The 14,384-nt window shown below is 33.6% G+C and overlaps 1 long non-coding RNA gene and 1 pseudogene across 5 annotated transcripts in view; one reads left to right on the forward strand and one right to left on the reverse strand.

The window, feature by feature from the left end:
• The window catches only part of LOC105379271 (uncharacterized), a 114,785-nt gene that overhangs the window by 17,561 nt on the left and 82,840 nt on the right, over window positions 1–14,384 (reverse strand). The window contains exon 3 of one of the 5 annotated variants that reach the window (XR_001756096.3): window positions 12,129–12,166. The exons of the other annotated variants lie outside the window; for them this stretch is intronic. This is a non-coding gene — a long non-coding RNA (uncharacterized LOC105379271). Of the gene's footprint in view, window positions 1–12,128; window positions 12,167–14,384 lie in introns of those variants that run through there. 5 annotated transcript variants of the gene reach the window in all.
• Window positions 4,667–8,722, forward strand: ANKRD20A15P (ankyrin repeat domain 20 family member A15, pseudogene; annotated as a pseudogene).

The raw sequence follows: 14,384 nt of genomic DNA on the forward strand, positions 1-14,384 counted from the left end.
AGTGCTGGGATTACAGATGTGAGCTATTATGCCCAGCCTACTTTCTGAGTCTTAAAAGATGAAAATAAATTTTTCAGAATAGCAGGGGAAAACATTTGTGATATAAAAAATGGGGTGCACACTAATTGAGGTATAAACAACAATAATTTTGCAAATTATTAGTAACTGCTAACTCAATTAGTGTCTTGTTAAAAAGATACTGTTATGAAGTATAGTAAAGCATTACATTGTATATTTTGACTGTATTTCAAATTTCTGTTTTGTTTCCAACAGTTTTGTTGACTTATGTTGGGTGGAACAATTTGTGAGTGTCCCTGAGATTTTGCATGGCTTGAATCTGGTGATATCTGGTGTCTCCCCAAGTGGTTTGTTGAAGTTTTGGATAATTAGAAGTATTTCTTACAGAAGTAAATATTTCAGTAAACATTGTTTCATTCAAACTCTCAAAATATAAAATACAAAGAAATGTTATTCTCTATTTATTTTTATAAAGATTATAGTCTTTATCTAACTCTTCTTAGTTCATTTGAACTAAATCAATGAATTTGTCAACAGAACAAACCTTACCAGTGGCTTTAGAGGAAGAGCAAGAAAGGTGTGAAAGAAGTGAAAAGAAGCAATCACAGGTATATGAAAATTTAAGTTCTTGTTTAATATTAGGTTTTTTTTGCTTTACTAACAAAGCATAGTCCAAATGACATGACCTTTCAGACTATACCTTTAGAATCCAATAGATCATAATTTTATATTTAATTTTTAAAACATCTTAACCAGTTATGAAACTTAAGATATTCTTACTATCTCTAGTAACTATTAGTTATTCTAGTAATTCTTAGTATCTCTAGTAACTCATAGTTGTCTTTACCCTTGGAATTGAGGCAAGAAATTTTCAGAATTATCTTGCTGTTTTATTTATGTAACCTTACTCATAATACACAAGGTAACATGAAGTATTGGGTCATATTACTGAGGAATAGAAATTATGAACAGTTTAACAACAATGGCCACTGAGTTAAACTAGTGTTAAAGGAGTCATCATTGCCAGTGTTTCAAATGTTGCAGTTTTATATTGCTGGTCACCAGTGCCGAGGTTAAAGATTTATTCTGTTTTGTGGTCACCAGCTGACTTCTGTGTCTGTGTTCAGGGAGTGAATGGGGTCATAAAAGTCAATGCAGTTGCCTATTAAGAGAATCCTACCTTGCAGAATGGGACCTTTGGTGTCAGGGTGTGAACAATAACTTTATTTCAACATAAATACATAGTAAACATTACTAAAATTTAAAAAATCCAAACCCTATCACTACCGGAACTTAAAATATATTAGAAGTGGATATAAGCAGAAATTCTATCTAGATACATAACACTATCATAGTATATCATTTGAATTAGAATTTAAAATTTTGCTTCTCTTTCTTATTGGTGTTCAGTTTAGCTCTTAATAATTTAGTGTTTGCCTAGTGCTCTAGTTCATCTTCAGAAATAAACATGCACTGTAGGGGCTCACTCTTTCTGGTATGCTGAGGTAAAGTCTTTGTAAGAGAGGAAGCTTTTATAATACTACCTATCATCTTTGAATTCATTTCTGGTAGATTTTACACAAATGCATTAAGTTTAGTCCAAACAGACACTGAGAGTTCAGCTTGCTGGTTCATGTTTCTGTCCTATGTTAAGCCAAGGCAAATTATTTTTCACTTTTTAGATACAATCCCATAATTTAAGAGTAGCAACACATAGATTAAGTTTCACAGTTAAATTTTAATTATTTTCTAATATTTCTTTGTTTATACTTGATTAAAGCTAATTTTAAAACATGCACTCTGACAGAAAAGACATCTGAGAAACAAAACAAGCAAATTTGTTTTCCATTTTGCACCTGACCCCCCCCAAAAAAGTCTCAAGAACCAGAACTGGGTAAGAACTGTGATAAAGGGAATCTATCTATATATTCATGACTTTCTTTAAAATTCATTACAAACAAGTTCAAGCTGAATATTGGTAAAAGTTCTGAAAACTCCAAAATTACTGCTTGCCCTGAGGAAGAGCTCCTACATGGTAACTCTAAAGAGGGATGAACAAAAAAGGAGTGCCCTCTAGTGTGATGAATCATGTCCCTGATTGTGAGGAGAAAAATGTATCTGGAGGGTCTAGCTCTGTGGCAGTCCAGGCAGCGCCTGAACAGAGGAAGCCCATGTCAAATGTCTTTTTATTCCATTCACACTCCAGGTCCCTGAAATACACTTACCAGTCATCTTCTAAGCTTCATTTAAATTAAAATAAATCAGACTATAAAAATGATAACAAACCAGACACACAGCTTGTTTCTAACACAGATGATGAAAATTTTTGTTATGATATAGAAACTGAAAAAGTAAAGAACCCAGTAATTATGATTGAAATGAAAGATGATTAAGAGTTTGACATGCAAATGGAAAAATGTATAAACCCAAATACCACTAATTGGAAATTAGACATTAGGCATTGGTCTCAGTCTAGAGATCCAGAAAGTCTTTTTGATTTGTGGTTTACCCACCCCAAAGAAATGAAGCATATGATTCAGATAGAAAGCCACAGTATTTCTGCTGCTACAGATACTTATAAAAACAGAAAACCAACACAATGCTTATTCCAGAAGCCACTGAATGACAATCCCAGTGTTAATAACTACAAAACCATGAATCTTGAATTATAAAATCTGGGTTATTCTTTGCCACATAGTGAGAGAACATCAAAAAATATAGCTAGAAACTTACAGCAAGATATTTCAAGGTCACTAACATAACACATGTGTACATACGTAACAAACCTGCACATTGTGCACATGTACCAGAACTTAAAGTATAATAATAGTAAAAAGAATGAGGTAGGCATGTTACAAGTAGAGTTCCTGGCTTTGGAGAAAGAGAAAGTCCAACTTCAAAAAGACAGAGGTTCACTTGCTGCTTCTTTTTTCTCTTTATCAATTATTTGATTTAGTCAAATTTTCTATTCAAGAAAATCCCATGTGTACAGTTACAGCGGGGTTTTCTAAATGTGTAATTATGTGTCAAAGTAGACTAGTCCTGCTATCTAAACAATGGTTCGGAGAATGTTCTCATAATGTTTGTTCATTAATCAACCTAAGTCTCACTCTCAGTCTTCCAAGTGGCATATGAGCTGGGAAACTAATTCAGCCATATACCATGTGACCTTCTGAACCAGATCAACATAAAGAAATTGCTAAAGAAATAAGCTTTAGATTCTAGATTCTTTTTACTATAGTCATTTAGAGATGAATTACATTTATTTAATGATAGAATGGGAATACAATGGGAGGGAAGCAATGACTGAGATGAGCCACAAAAACACTTCTAGCCTTGAGAGTTGCAATGAATATTCCCAGACAAATGAGTCTGTTTAATGTGTTTTCATGCATGCAAGTTTATCTGCTTAGCTCAAACTGTTTGAATTTATAGTTCCATCATGGTTATTTCCAATATTTTGAAAACAAATATATACTTCCACATATTTAAAAAAATCACCACTCCAATATTTCTGTTGAATCAGACCTTACATTATGTTGTTTAATAAAGTATGGTAAGTTTTGGCATGTATGATTTTTATCATGTAAGAAGCATAATTTCTTAGCTAAAAATTTAACCTTTGACTCTTTAGTAGAAAGTTGAGTTCTGTACACTGTGTTCTAAAGATAGACAAAAATCTAGAGATTTTCTTCTTTCAAAGTAAAAGCAGATGAGGCCTTTTTCCACCCTCTGAGGTGTTAAATTGCTTTGCTCGTTAGACTTTTAATATATCTGACTAATTTGATAAATTTATCTGGTAATTTATGTAATTCAGCAACATGGAATTGTATAATGTTATTTGGTGCCATGAAATGCTAGGGAATGCCGCCTCAAGAGCTCTGGATGAAACATTTCGTATGTCTTGGTTGGTTTGACTCCCATTTTCAGTAGATAATATGGCTTAAGTAGATAACTGTACCATATGTGTTCCACCTATAAACATTTGTGGTAACTGAATGTGAAATCTGGGAAGCATCTCGTTTTCCAGAATTCTGCACTAGGAACTCAGCAGTTTCATTCTGCTTCTTGTGTTGTGGCAAACAAACATTGGTTCCCATAGTTCAGGGAGAACTTTCACTTTTTTGATATCCCAGGATTCAAAAAAAAAAAAAAAAGAGATAAAAGGCAGTGGGGAAAAGAATAGCTCAGTGCAGAAAAGGGAAAACTTCTTTACTGTTCTTGAAGGCCTACAAGGTTACATCCTCTTAATCTGGCTATTTCATGTAAAATCCATGTGGCAATGACAGAAGATATATGTTATGCCTGTGTCTTTTTATTTCTCTGTTTCTGCCAGTCAACTAGCATAAACATTTATATCAGATAGCAAAGAGTGGATGCGAATAAAAGCACAAAATGGAGAAGAGTCCTTTTTGAAATTTTGGAAAATTCTTCCATTCACTCAAACAGAAATGAGCAGACTTGACAAAAATTTCAATGATAAAATGATGAGTATCTTATAATTATTATGTATAATGATAAAATTAAAGTAAGCACAAAATACTTTTATCATTAAAATGGTGATAGTTAACCTGAATCAAGTTAAAAAATCAGGGAAAAAGTTTTTTTATTGAATAAAATAATAATTATTATTCATATTACTTTTATTAAAGGTCAAAGAAGGAAATAATACAAACAAAAGTGAAAAAATACAACTATCAGAAAATGTATGTCATAGTACATCTTCTGCTGCTGCTGACAGATTAACCAAAGAAAGAAAGATTGGGAAAACGTATCCTCAGCAATTTCCCAAGAAACTGAAGGAAAAGCATGATAGGTAAGTAAGCCTATAGCAGTTTTTTTTTTTTTTTTTTTTTTTTTTTGAGATGGAGTTCCTCTCTTGTTGCCCAAGCTGGAATGCAATGGTGTGTTCTCACCTCACTGCAACCTATGCATACTGGGTTCAAGTGATTCTCTTGACTCAGCCTCCCTAGTAGCTGAGATTACAGACATGTGCCACCATGCCTAGCTAATTTCTTGTATTTTTAGTAGAAATGAGGTTTCACCATGTTATCCAGGCTTGTCTCGAACTTCTGACCTCAGGTGTTCTGCCCACCTCGGCCTCCCAAAGTGCTGGGTTTACAGGAGTGAGCCACCGTGCCTGGCCACCTATAGCAGTATTTCTCAGCAGATAATTGTCATTGTGCTATAAACTAATTCAAAATTGGACTAATGTTCATTATGATTAACAAGTTTTATAGTTTTACCAGGGATATTTAGCCCTGCCTAGTAATCAGAAAAATGCAAATTAACATAAAATAAGATATATTTTGTAAAGTCATGCTGATATTGAAAAAGTAATTCCTACCATTGAAAATGAGAGGAAAAAGGCATTCTCATACACTGTTGGTATATGAAATTGGTAAATTATTTCTGAAGGGTAACTTAGTGCTGTTTATCAAAATTTCAAATAACCTGACATCCCTTTAACTCAACAACTCCACTTCTGGGACTAGATTTCACAGGAAAACATAACTTGTGTAAACATACACACACTTATTAAGGGCATTAATTATATATTACACATAATGAACAATAGCTTAATAAATATATAAAATATATGTAATAAGAAGGTGAACTGGAAGTATTAAGAAAGAATTAGAAAAAGTGTGGGGTAACAGATGTTAGACTCTTTAGCCTAGTTTTAGATGACAATAATCTGCAGATATAGTTTGTGTGAGAGATATCTTACTCTGTAAATCATTTGGAGAGACACCTGCAATATTTCATAGAGATGAAAATTTATTTCTAGTGAACTTATACGCTTGTCAATAAATAGTAACTTTAAAAATTTAGTTGATTGTAAATGACCTTTTCTAATCAGGTAGTAATTATGACTGTGTGATTTGAAAAGGTAATTTTGAACTTCTAACTATACTGAATTATTTCCAGTATCTTTTTGTATAATACATACTAGAGTGACTAGTAATAAAAACTTTAGCAGAATATTCTTTCCTTACTAATTTTCAAGTATATGCATTCGTTTGAAGATGTTGAAGTGAGAAATTAAATATCTGAGAACTACAAAGGAAAAATAATCCAGAACATAGAAATTTTACTAGGATGATAAAGAGCATCTGCAGAGGTAGATCACAGGATGATCTCTTTATTTTTTAACAAAATGAATTTTAAGATAAATGTCTTTGTCTGCAGATGCATCTTAAGACAAGAAAGTGAAGAAAAAACAAATGTTAATATGCTGTGCAAAAAAATAGAGAAGAATTAGAAAGGAAAGGGAAACAATATAAGAAAGAAGTTGAAGCAAAACAACTTGAACCAACTATTCAATCACTAGAGATGAAACCGAAGACTACAAGAAATACTCCAAATCAGATAAATAAATCTTTGGTAAAAATTCTATATTTTAAACTTTATTTTATCAATGTTACTTATAATATCCTCTTGATTTAATATATAATATTTTGGTCTAAAACAAACCAGAAATGTTATCTCATTTTTAAAAAATGAATGATGACACTTACAGGTACAATTATTTTTATTATAAATCTTGGCATCCACATAGGATATTATTTTATTACAAAGAGCTTTTGAAAACAATAATATGCCATAATATATACTTAGTGATAACCTATTGATAAAGATTTTGTTCCCAGTAAAATTGTTCCTTGTACTTCCTGCCATTTCATATTGATTACTGTACCTAATACTATAAAGAGGAAACAAATTATTGCAATCACAAATAATCTCATGATATTCTAAGAAGAGCTCTATAAATTTTATCTTATTTACCATTGGTGTTTTGAAATAAAACTTTTCTTTCGTATTGATACATTTACACCACAGAAGTAACTGTGATCTCTCAGAGAACTAGAAGTAGAGTAAGAAGTCCTGGGGAAAATCCTGTAGCTTGCTTATATTTTTAACATTTCTTTTTCAAATTTGTGGTAACTAGATGGGTTCATCAATGAATGTATATAGGAGTGACTAGTATAATGTCTAGATTTATGATTTAGTAAATGTAATTCTTTCAACTGACTATAAAAGTGTTAAAAGAGTCAAATTAAAATAGAATGTTATCAGTGAAACAGAACTGTAATAACTCTGGGAAATTTTATCTGTCCAAATATGTGTGAACTAAGGTTCTTACTATAGGGTGGTGTATGGGTTAGATATCAAAGTGTAAATGCAATTTTTTGATATATTTTAATTTAGTCAAATTTGTTAATGCTTTAATTTATGCTTTTGAGTTTGTTGTAATTCAGGGAAAGGCTTTTCCAATTCTGAAATTCTTAAAAATTCTCTGGTGTGCGTGTGTGTGTGTGTGTTTACTTTTATAAATTCATTGACTTTAAATAAATTTCTGAACTTTTTGGAACTTATGCTCTATAAAGTTCAAAGTTTTGCTTCAACTTTTTCTCCAGTTGGATATCCACTTACAGTAACCTTTTTAGTATATGGATGTGCAGGTTATACTTTAGCTTCAGAGGTAATCATGATATTTTATTGAGTACTAGCTAAAACTTTCTTTTGTTTTATTTAGGATTTTCATAATCAGGAAGAAATGAAAGATCTGATGGATGAAAATTGCATTTTGAAGACAGATATTGCTATACTCCGACAGGAAATACGCACAATGAAAAATGACAACCTGGAAAAAGAAAATAAATATCTTAAGGACGTTAAAATTGTTAAAAAAACAAACGCTGCCCTTGAAAAGTATATAAAACTCAATGAGGAATTGATAACAAGAACAGCATTCCGGTATCAACAAGAGCTTAATGATCTCAAAGCTGAGAATACAAGGCTCAATTCCGAACTGTTGAAGGAAGAAGAAAGCAACAAAAGACTGGAAGCTGAAATTGAATCATCAGTCTAGACTGACTGCTGCTATAAGTAAGCACAGTGAAAGTGTGAAAACAGAAAGAAACCTAAAACTTGCATTAGAGTGAACACAAGATGTTTCCGTACAAGTAAAAATGAGTTCTGATATTTCCGAAGTAGAAGAATGAGTTTCTTACTGAACAACTTTCTAAAAAGCAAATTAAATTCAATACCTTAAAAGATAAGTTCCGTAAGAACAGAGATACTCTCAGAAAAAAGTCATTGGCTTTAGAAACTCTCCAAACGACCTAAGCCAAACACAGCAGCAAATAAAGGAAATGAAAGAGATGTATGAAAATGCAGAAGCTAAAGTGAATAATTCCACTGGAAAGTGGAGCTGTGTAGAAGAGAGGATATGTCAACTCCAACATGAAAATCCGTGCATTGAACAGCAACTAGATGATGTTCATCAGAAAGAGGATCATAAAGAGATAGTAACTAATATCCAAAGAGGCTTTATTGAGAGTGGAAAGAAAGACCACATGCTAGAAGAGAAAAATAAGAAGCTAATGAACGAATGTGATCATTAAAAAGAAAGTCTCTTTCGATATGAGAGAGAGAAAGCAGAAAGAGTAGTAAGTATCAAGGAAGATAAATATTTTCAAACTTTTAGAAAGAAAATTTAAACATTTGGTTCTGGATACATGTTGAACTTAGTTGAATATAAAAATCAATGGATAAAAAGTGTGTTTACCATACTGTATAATTCCATTTACATGAAGCATCCAGAAAAGATAAACGTATAGGGACAAAAAGTAGACTAATGTTTGCAAAGGGCTGGGGCTGAAAGCTGGTAGTGACTGCTAATGGGCGTCAGGGATCTTGCAGTGATGGAAATGCTGTAAAGTTTGATTGTAGAGATGGCTGCACAACTCAGTAAATGGACTAAAAATTCTTTTAACTTTAAGTTAAAACAGATACATTCTATAGTATGTAAATTATATTTCAACAAAGCTGTTTTAATAAAAAAAAAGGAAAACCGTGTTTACTATACCAGCTTAGAAACGTGCCCCATTTCTAGGAAATAAAAGGTAGAGGTGAGAGATGATTTACTTTGAGAAAAGACATTGTGTCACCTATGAAATTTTATTAGGCACAGAGTCATATTTTAAGGTAGATAGTTCTGTACTGCTGAAATAATAATTTTAATGACTTTATGTTGCCACATGTTAAGACCATAATGTAAGTATAAATGGAAATGTTTACACCTGAAATGAGTATTTTCAAATTAAAATTTAATTGATTATCTTTGACACTTAATTCTAGATTTCCCAGATGAACTGAAGTGTATTGCTGTGTCTTGTAATACCTTGCTTTAAGTAGCTTTTTATGTATTTTAGTTGGTATATCTTTGTTATTAATCATATTAATTTAACAAATCTGAAAATATGTCAAATTACATATTTTTATGACTATGTAATGTTTTAAAGGCACCTACTTGTTATAAAATCATAATTTAGGATACATGTGGTAATATTTAGCAAAACTATATTTGGTTTAGTCTTCCCACTGGTATTTATAGTTTACTTTGAATATTTATATTAATAATTAGCTCCTAATTTTTATTTCAAGGCTTAATGACTATCATTGGAATATAATTTTGTTCAGTACAAAGATACTTGTAGCTGCCTGTGATTTATGAGTAAGGCATTAGATCCCTATTTTCAGACAGAGGGGTGGCAGGCTTCACGTACAGTGGGAATGGAGTAATTACAGGAGGGAGTTGTAGGAGCTTTGAAGTCAGAGAGGGAGGTAGAGACCTGTTTACCTAGGACCTCAAAGGCCATTGGAATTTTACTTTTATTCTGAGATAGGAATCTGTTGGAAGGATTTGAACAGGTGATTGAATATGTGAGGAACTTTGAGGTTGAGTTGAGCTTCTAAGATGATTGAATGGTGGGATGAATCTGTTATGTAAGTAAGAGAATACCAATTTGGCAGGAAGAGAACATATTGTGCATCCCTCACTGAATTCAGTAATAAATAAAAATGTGTACATGTGATTAAAAGAAGGTGAATTGATATGTGTGGTGATAATTTTCAAAGTACGTATGTTAGAGTTAAATATTATTAACATAATTTAATAAGGCAATTTATAAAATCAGTAACAAAAATATTTTCTCAGGTGGTTGTGAGACAACTTCAACAAGAAGCGGCTGACAGCCTAAAAAAATTAACTATGTTAGAGTCTCCACTGGAAGGTATATCACATTATCACATTAATTTGGATGAGACACAGGTCCCAAAGAAGAAATTATTTCAAGTGGAAAGTCAAGTATGTATGGAACTTAGCATGTCAACTGTTATTCTGTAGCTAGTTGAATTACATAACATGTTTTAGGATACTAATTATGGCAGAAGCTTGATTTTTTATTTTCATTACAATGAATTATTTCCACTTTACTATCTCTATAATGTACTTATTTTTTTATATTGTGACTTTCATTCTACCATTTTGAAAAACCATTGCATACCTTTTCTCTTACAATACGTACCCTTGGAAAAGTTGAGAATTATATATCATTCCTCATAGAAAACTGACTTTTGTCCTGTTAAAAGAGTATTTTTAAGTAATTTTTGTATTGCTCTGATGAGGCAGGCCAGATTAAATCAGAGAAGAATGTTTCATGGAATGTTCCAGAAAATTGTCTTATTTCTTCACTTTTGTGAGTGGACACAGAATCTGTGTCTATTTATTTCACAGATTCTAGGTTAACTTGTACAGAAAGGCCATTATACTATTCTTTTAAAAGTGCATGTTTTAGGTTAATTTACAAACTATTTGAAAAGTTAGGCATTTTCTTTATCTTTTATTTAAAATATACTATAAAACTGTGGAAATATTTAAATTTGAGATAACATGTACATCAAAAATTGAGAGTTGAGAAAATTATCTTGATCCTGCCTTCGGATTTTAAAAACAGTTTCACTGAGATATCATTCACATTTGAGAGAGTTCAACCATTTAAAATGTACAACTCAGTATCTATTAGTAATTCACAGCATTTTCATCACCCTGAAAAGCAACGCTACATCTCCTAGGCATGACTGCAGCCTTCCTCCATGTCCCTCCACCTACCTCTGTTGTAGGCAACCACCATCTATCTGCTTTTGTCTCCATATGTTCGCCTGTTCTGCCTATTTCATATACATAGAGTTATACAATACGTAGTCCTTTGTGACTGGCTTTTTCACTTAGCATAATGTTTTCAGAATTCACTTAGCATAATGTTTTAGCACACATTGGTAGTTTATTTCTTCTTACAGTTAAGTGATATTCTATTCCATGTCTATACTGGTTTTCCATTCATTCATCGGTTGATGGACCTTTAGGTTAGTTTCCACTGTTTAGCTCTTATGAAAAATGCTGCTGCGAACATTCACTTACAGGTTATTATGTGGACACGCGTTTTTATTTCTCTGCCATTGGACTTTATCCTCAGAGTTAATTGGGCAGATTTCAGCACTTGTCTTGCTCATGCTATCCTTTCTGCCTTCTCAGTTTCTATTCATCTAGCCTCATTCACTCAGAAGTGGCAGACAATTTATTGTTTTCATGAAGCTTTCTCTGAGTGTTCTCTCATTGACCTTATGTGTTAGCAATCGTTGTCTAGTCTTTGCAGAAAAACTTAGTTCTTAATTTTACATGGCTTTTATTTTTTTATGGAAGATAGTTTTCTCTCATTATAAATTTGCTTAATGGGGGAATAATATATAATATGTGTGCCACCTATCCTTGCATACATTGAAAATATTTTAGCTTAGAAGTTTGTAGCATACAATTCAATACTTTATACCATACCAATTATTTCTTCTTTGAGACCTTGACACAGTAAGGTTTATATTCTAAGTGTGTTTTTAGCAATTAAATATCAAAGCCAACCCAATTAGTCTAATACAGGAGACTCGTTCAATCACATGTTTATGTTTTTCTCTCTATGAAAAAGAATCTAAATTGGCCTTTTTTCACTATGCAGCAGAACTGTGTTTCTGGACTGCTACCAGTTTGTCAGCTGAACAGTTCTGGGTGCAGCTTGTCCGATGACGGATAGCACAGCCCCTCAATATGAGTGCTCAGCAGAGTGCTTGTGAAGGCAGCACCACAGCAACAGTTTCTCAGAGGGAACGGATTCAGGAGCCTTGATTTAGCAATAGAGTCCAGGGTTTTCAGCTCAGTGTCTTTAGCCTGTCTCTGCTGGTCATGTCAGTTATGTACTATTCAATCCAGAAGGTGCTGTTTACATTGTAGTACATACATAGTCATTGCCTAATGAGTCATACAGAGAGAAAAGTAAGTTATAAATTATGTCCCCCATTTGCTGCAACTCTCAGTGGTAAGAATGATTCAGTGCAGCTATAGGAGAGTACTTCCATTGGCATGCCACCTGCCTAAAATACACAATTTTGTTAAGATATACAATAAAATTATTATGCTAATAGCAAATATTTTATGTAGCTCACTATGTTCCACGTAGTCTTCTAAGTGTTTCATGTTAGTCCCCAGTTAAACACCTGGTTTTGGAAGGCTGAAGCAGGAGGATCGTTTGAGCCCATGAGTTTGAGACCAGCCAGAGCAATATAGTGAGACCCTGTCTCTAAAAAAAAAAAAAAAAAAAAAAAAAAATTAAACACTTATCTGAGGCATGGTGGTGCACGCCTGTAGTCCCAGCTACATTGGGAGGCTGTGGTAGGAGGGTCGTTTGAGCTTGGAATATTGAGGCTGTAGTGAACAGTGATCAAGCCGCTGCGCTCCAGGCTGGGTAACAGAGGGAGACTCTGTCTCATAAATAAAACGTTTTGTATAGATTCCCATAGAAGTGAGTTAGACATCAGTCATAGAATTATTAGCCACTTTGATGTCTACCTTGGGAGTAAAACATATAATAAGGGGCAGCGTTAAACCATCTCAATCACTAGCCTCCAACTTCTCGAGAAGGTTCTTATTTCATGAATTTCTACACAAAAGACTACCTGGATTAAGACATTTGGTGGACACCATTTTGAGATGAAGAATCTTGAGTGAGAAGAAGGGAGTTCTCTACTTACTGAAGCTTCCCAATGACATAGTTAAGTGTCCCCCAAAAGAAACTTTAGAACAAGACTTTCATCATGCCATATCTCTATGGAAAAGGAATTTCTTTAAAAGAAAACAAAGGCAAACAATTGATAATATGATTCTCATGGGAAAGTTTTCATCATAAAAGAAAAAGAGGGCTGGGTGCCGTGGCTCACGTCTGTAATCCCAACACTTTGGGAGGCTGAGGTGCGTGGATTAGCTGAGGTCAGCAGTTCAAAAACAGCCTGGCCAACATGGTGAAACCCTGTCTCTACTGAAAATACAAAAATTAGCCAGGTCTGGTGGTGTGCACCTGTAGTCCCAGCTACTTGGGATGCTGAGGCAGGAGAATCACTTGAACCCAGGAGGTGGAAGTTGCAGTAAGCCGAGATGGTGCCACTGCACTCCAGCCTGGATGACACAGTGTGACTCCATCTCAAAAAAAAGAAAAAAGAAAAACAAAAAAGGGACAAAGTATACTGGTCCAAAAAAGAAGAAAGCAAGAAAAAAAGGACAAAGTATACTGGTTAGTATCATAACAGTGAGATAGCCCCCCTTTGAGATTAGAAAATAACAGTATACTCAAAGTAACATTAATGAGAACCAACATAAAATAGACAACATTCACTATCTACAAAAGTAATCTGCACCAATTAGCAATGTATGAGCATGTGGTTGAGAATATTTTCTATAATATGTGTACTAGAACGAAGAGACCTCAAGAAAATGGTCAGAGCTGGAAATGTAGATTAGGGAATCTAGGTCAAAGTTTTGAGATTTTAGGAGTCCTGAGAGAATTTAAAAAGAGAAATAGCCACCAGGCATGGTGGCCACACCTGTAATCCCAGCACTTTGGGAGGCCAAGGCATGAAGATCATGAGGTCAGGAGTTAAAGACCAGTCTGGCCAACAAGTTTCTTATATAGGTAAACGTGTTCCATGATGGTTTGCTGCACCTATCAATCCATCACCTAGATATTAAGCCCTGTGGGCATTAGTTATTGATCTTGATGCTCTCCCTCCTGACCCCAACAGGCCCCAGTGTTTGTTGTTCCCCTCCCCGAGTCCATGTGCTCTTATCGTTCAGCTCCCACTTATAAGTGAGAAGATGCAGTGTTTGGTTTTTTCTTCCTGCATTAGTTTGCTGAAGATATCAGCTTTGGGTTCATCCATATCCCTGCAAAGAGCATGATCTCATTCATTTTTATGGCTCCATAGTATTCCATGGTGTATATATACCACATTTTCTTTATCCCATTATCACTGATAATGTCCATCTGTGTTGATTCCATGTCTTTACTATTGTGAATAGTGCTGCAGTGAACATGCAAATGCATGTATCTTTATAATAGAATAATTTATATTCCAACGTATGGTAATTTTAAATCAGTTTTGGTATTAAAAATCATGCATTTTGGAAAATATTGATA

The sequence above is a fragment of the Homo sapiens genome (genome assembly GCF_000001405.40).
Source record: "Homo sapiens chromosome 14 unlocalized genomic scaffold, GRCh38.p14 Primary Assembly HSCHR14_CTG1_UNLOCALIZED".
Classification (NCBI taxonomy): Eukaryota; Metazoa; Chordata; class Mammalia; order Primates; family Hominidae; genus Homo; species Homo sapiens.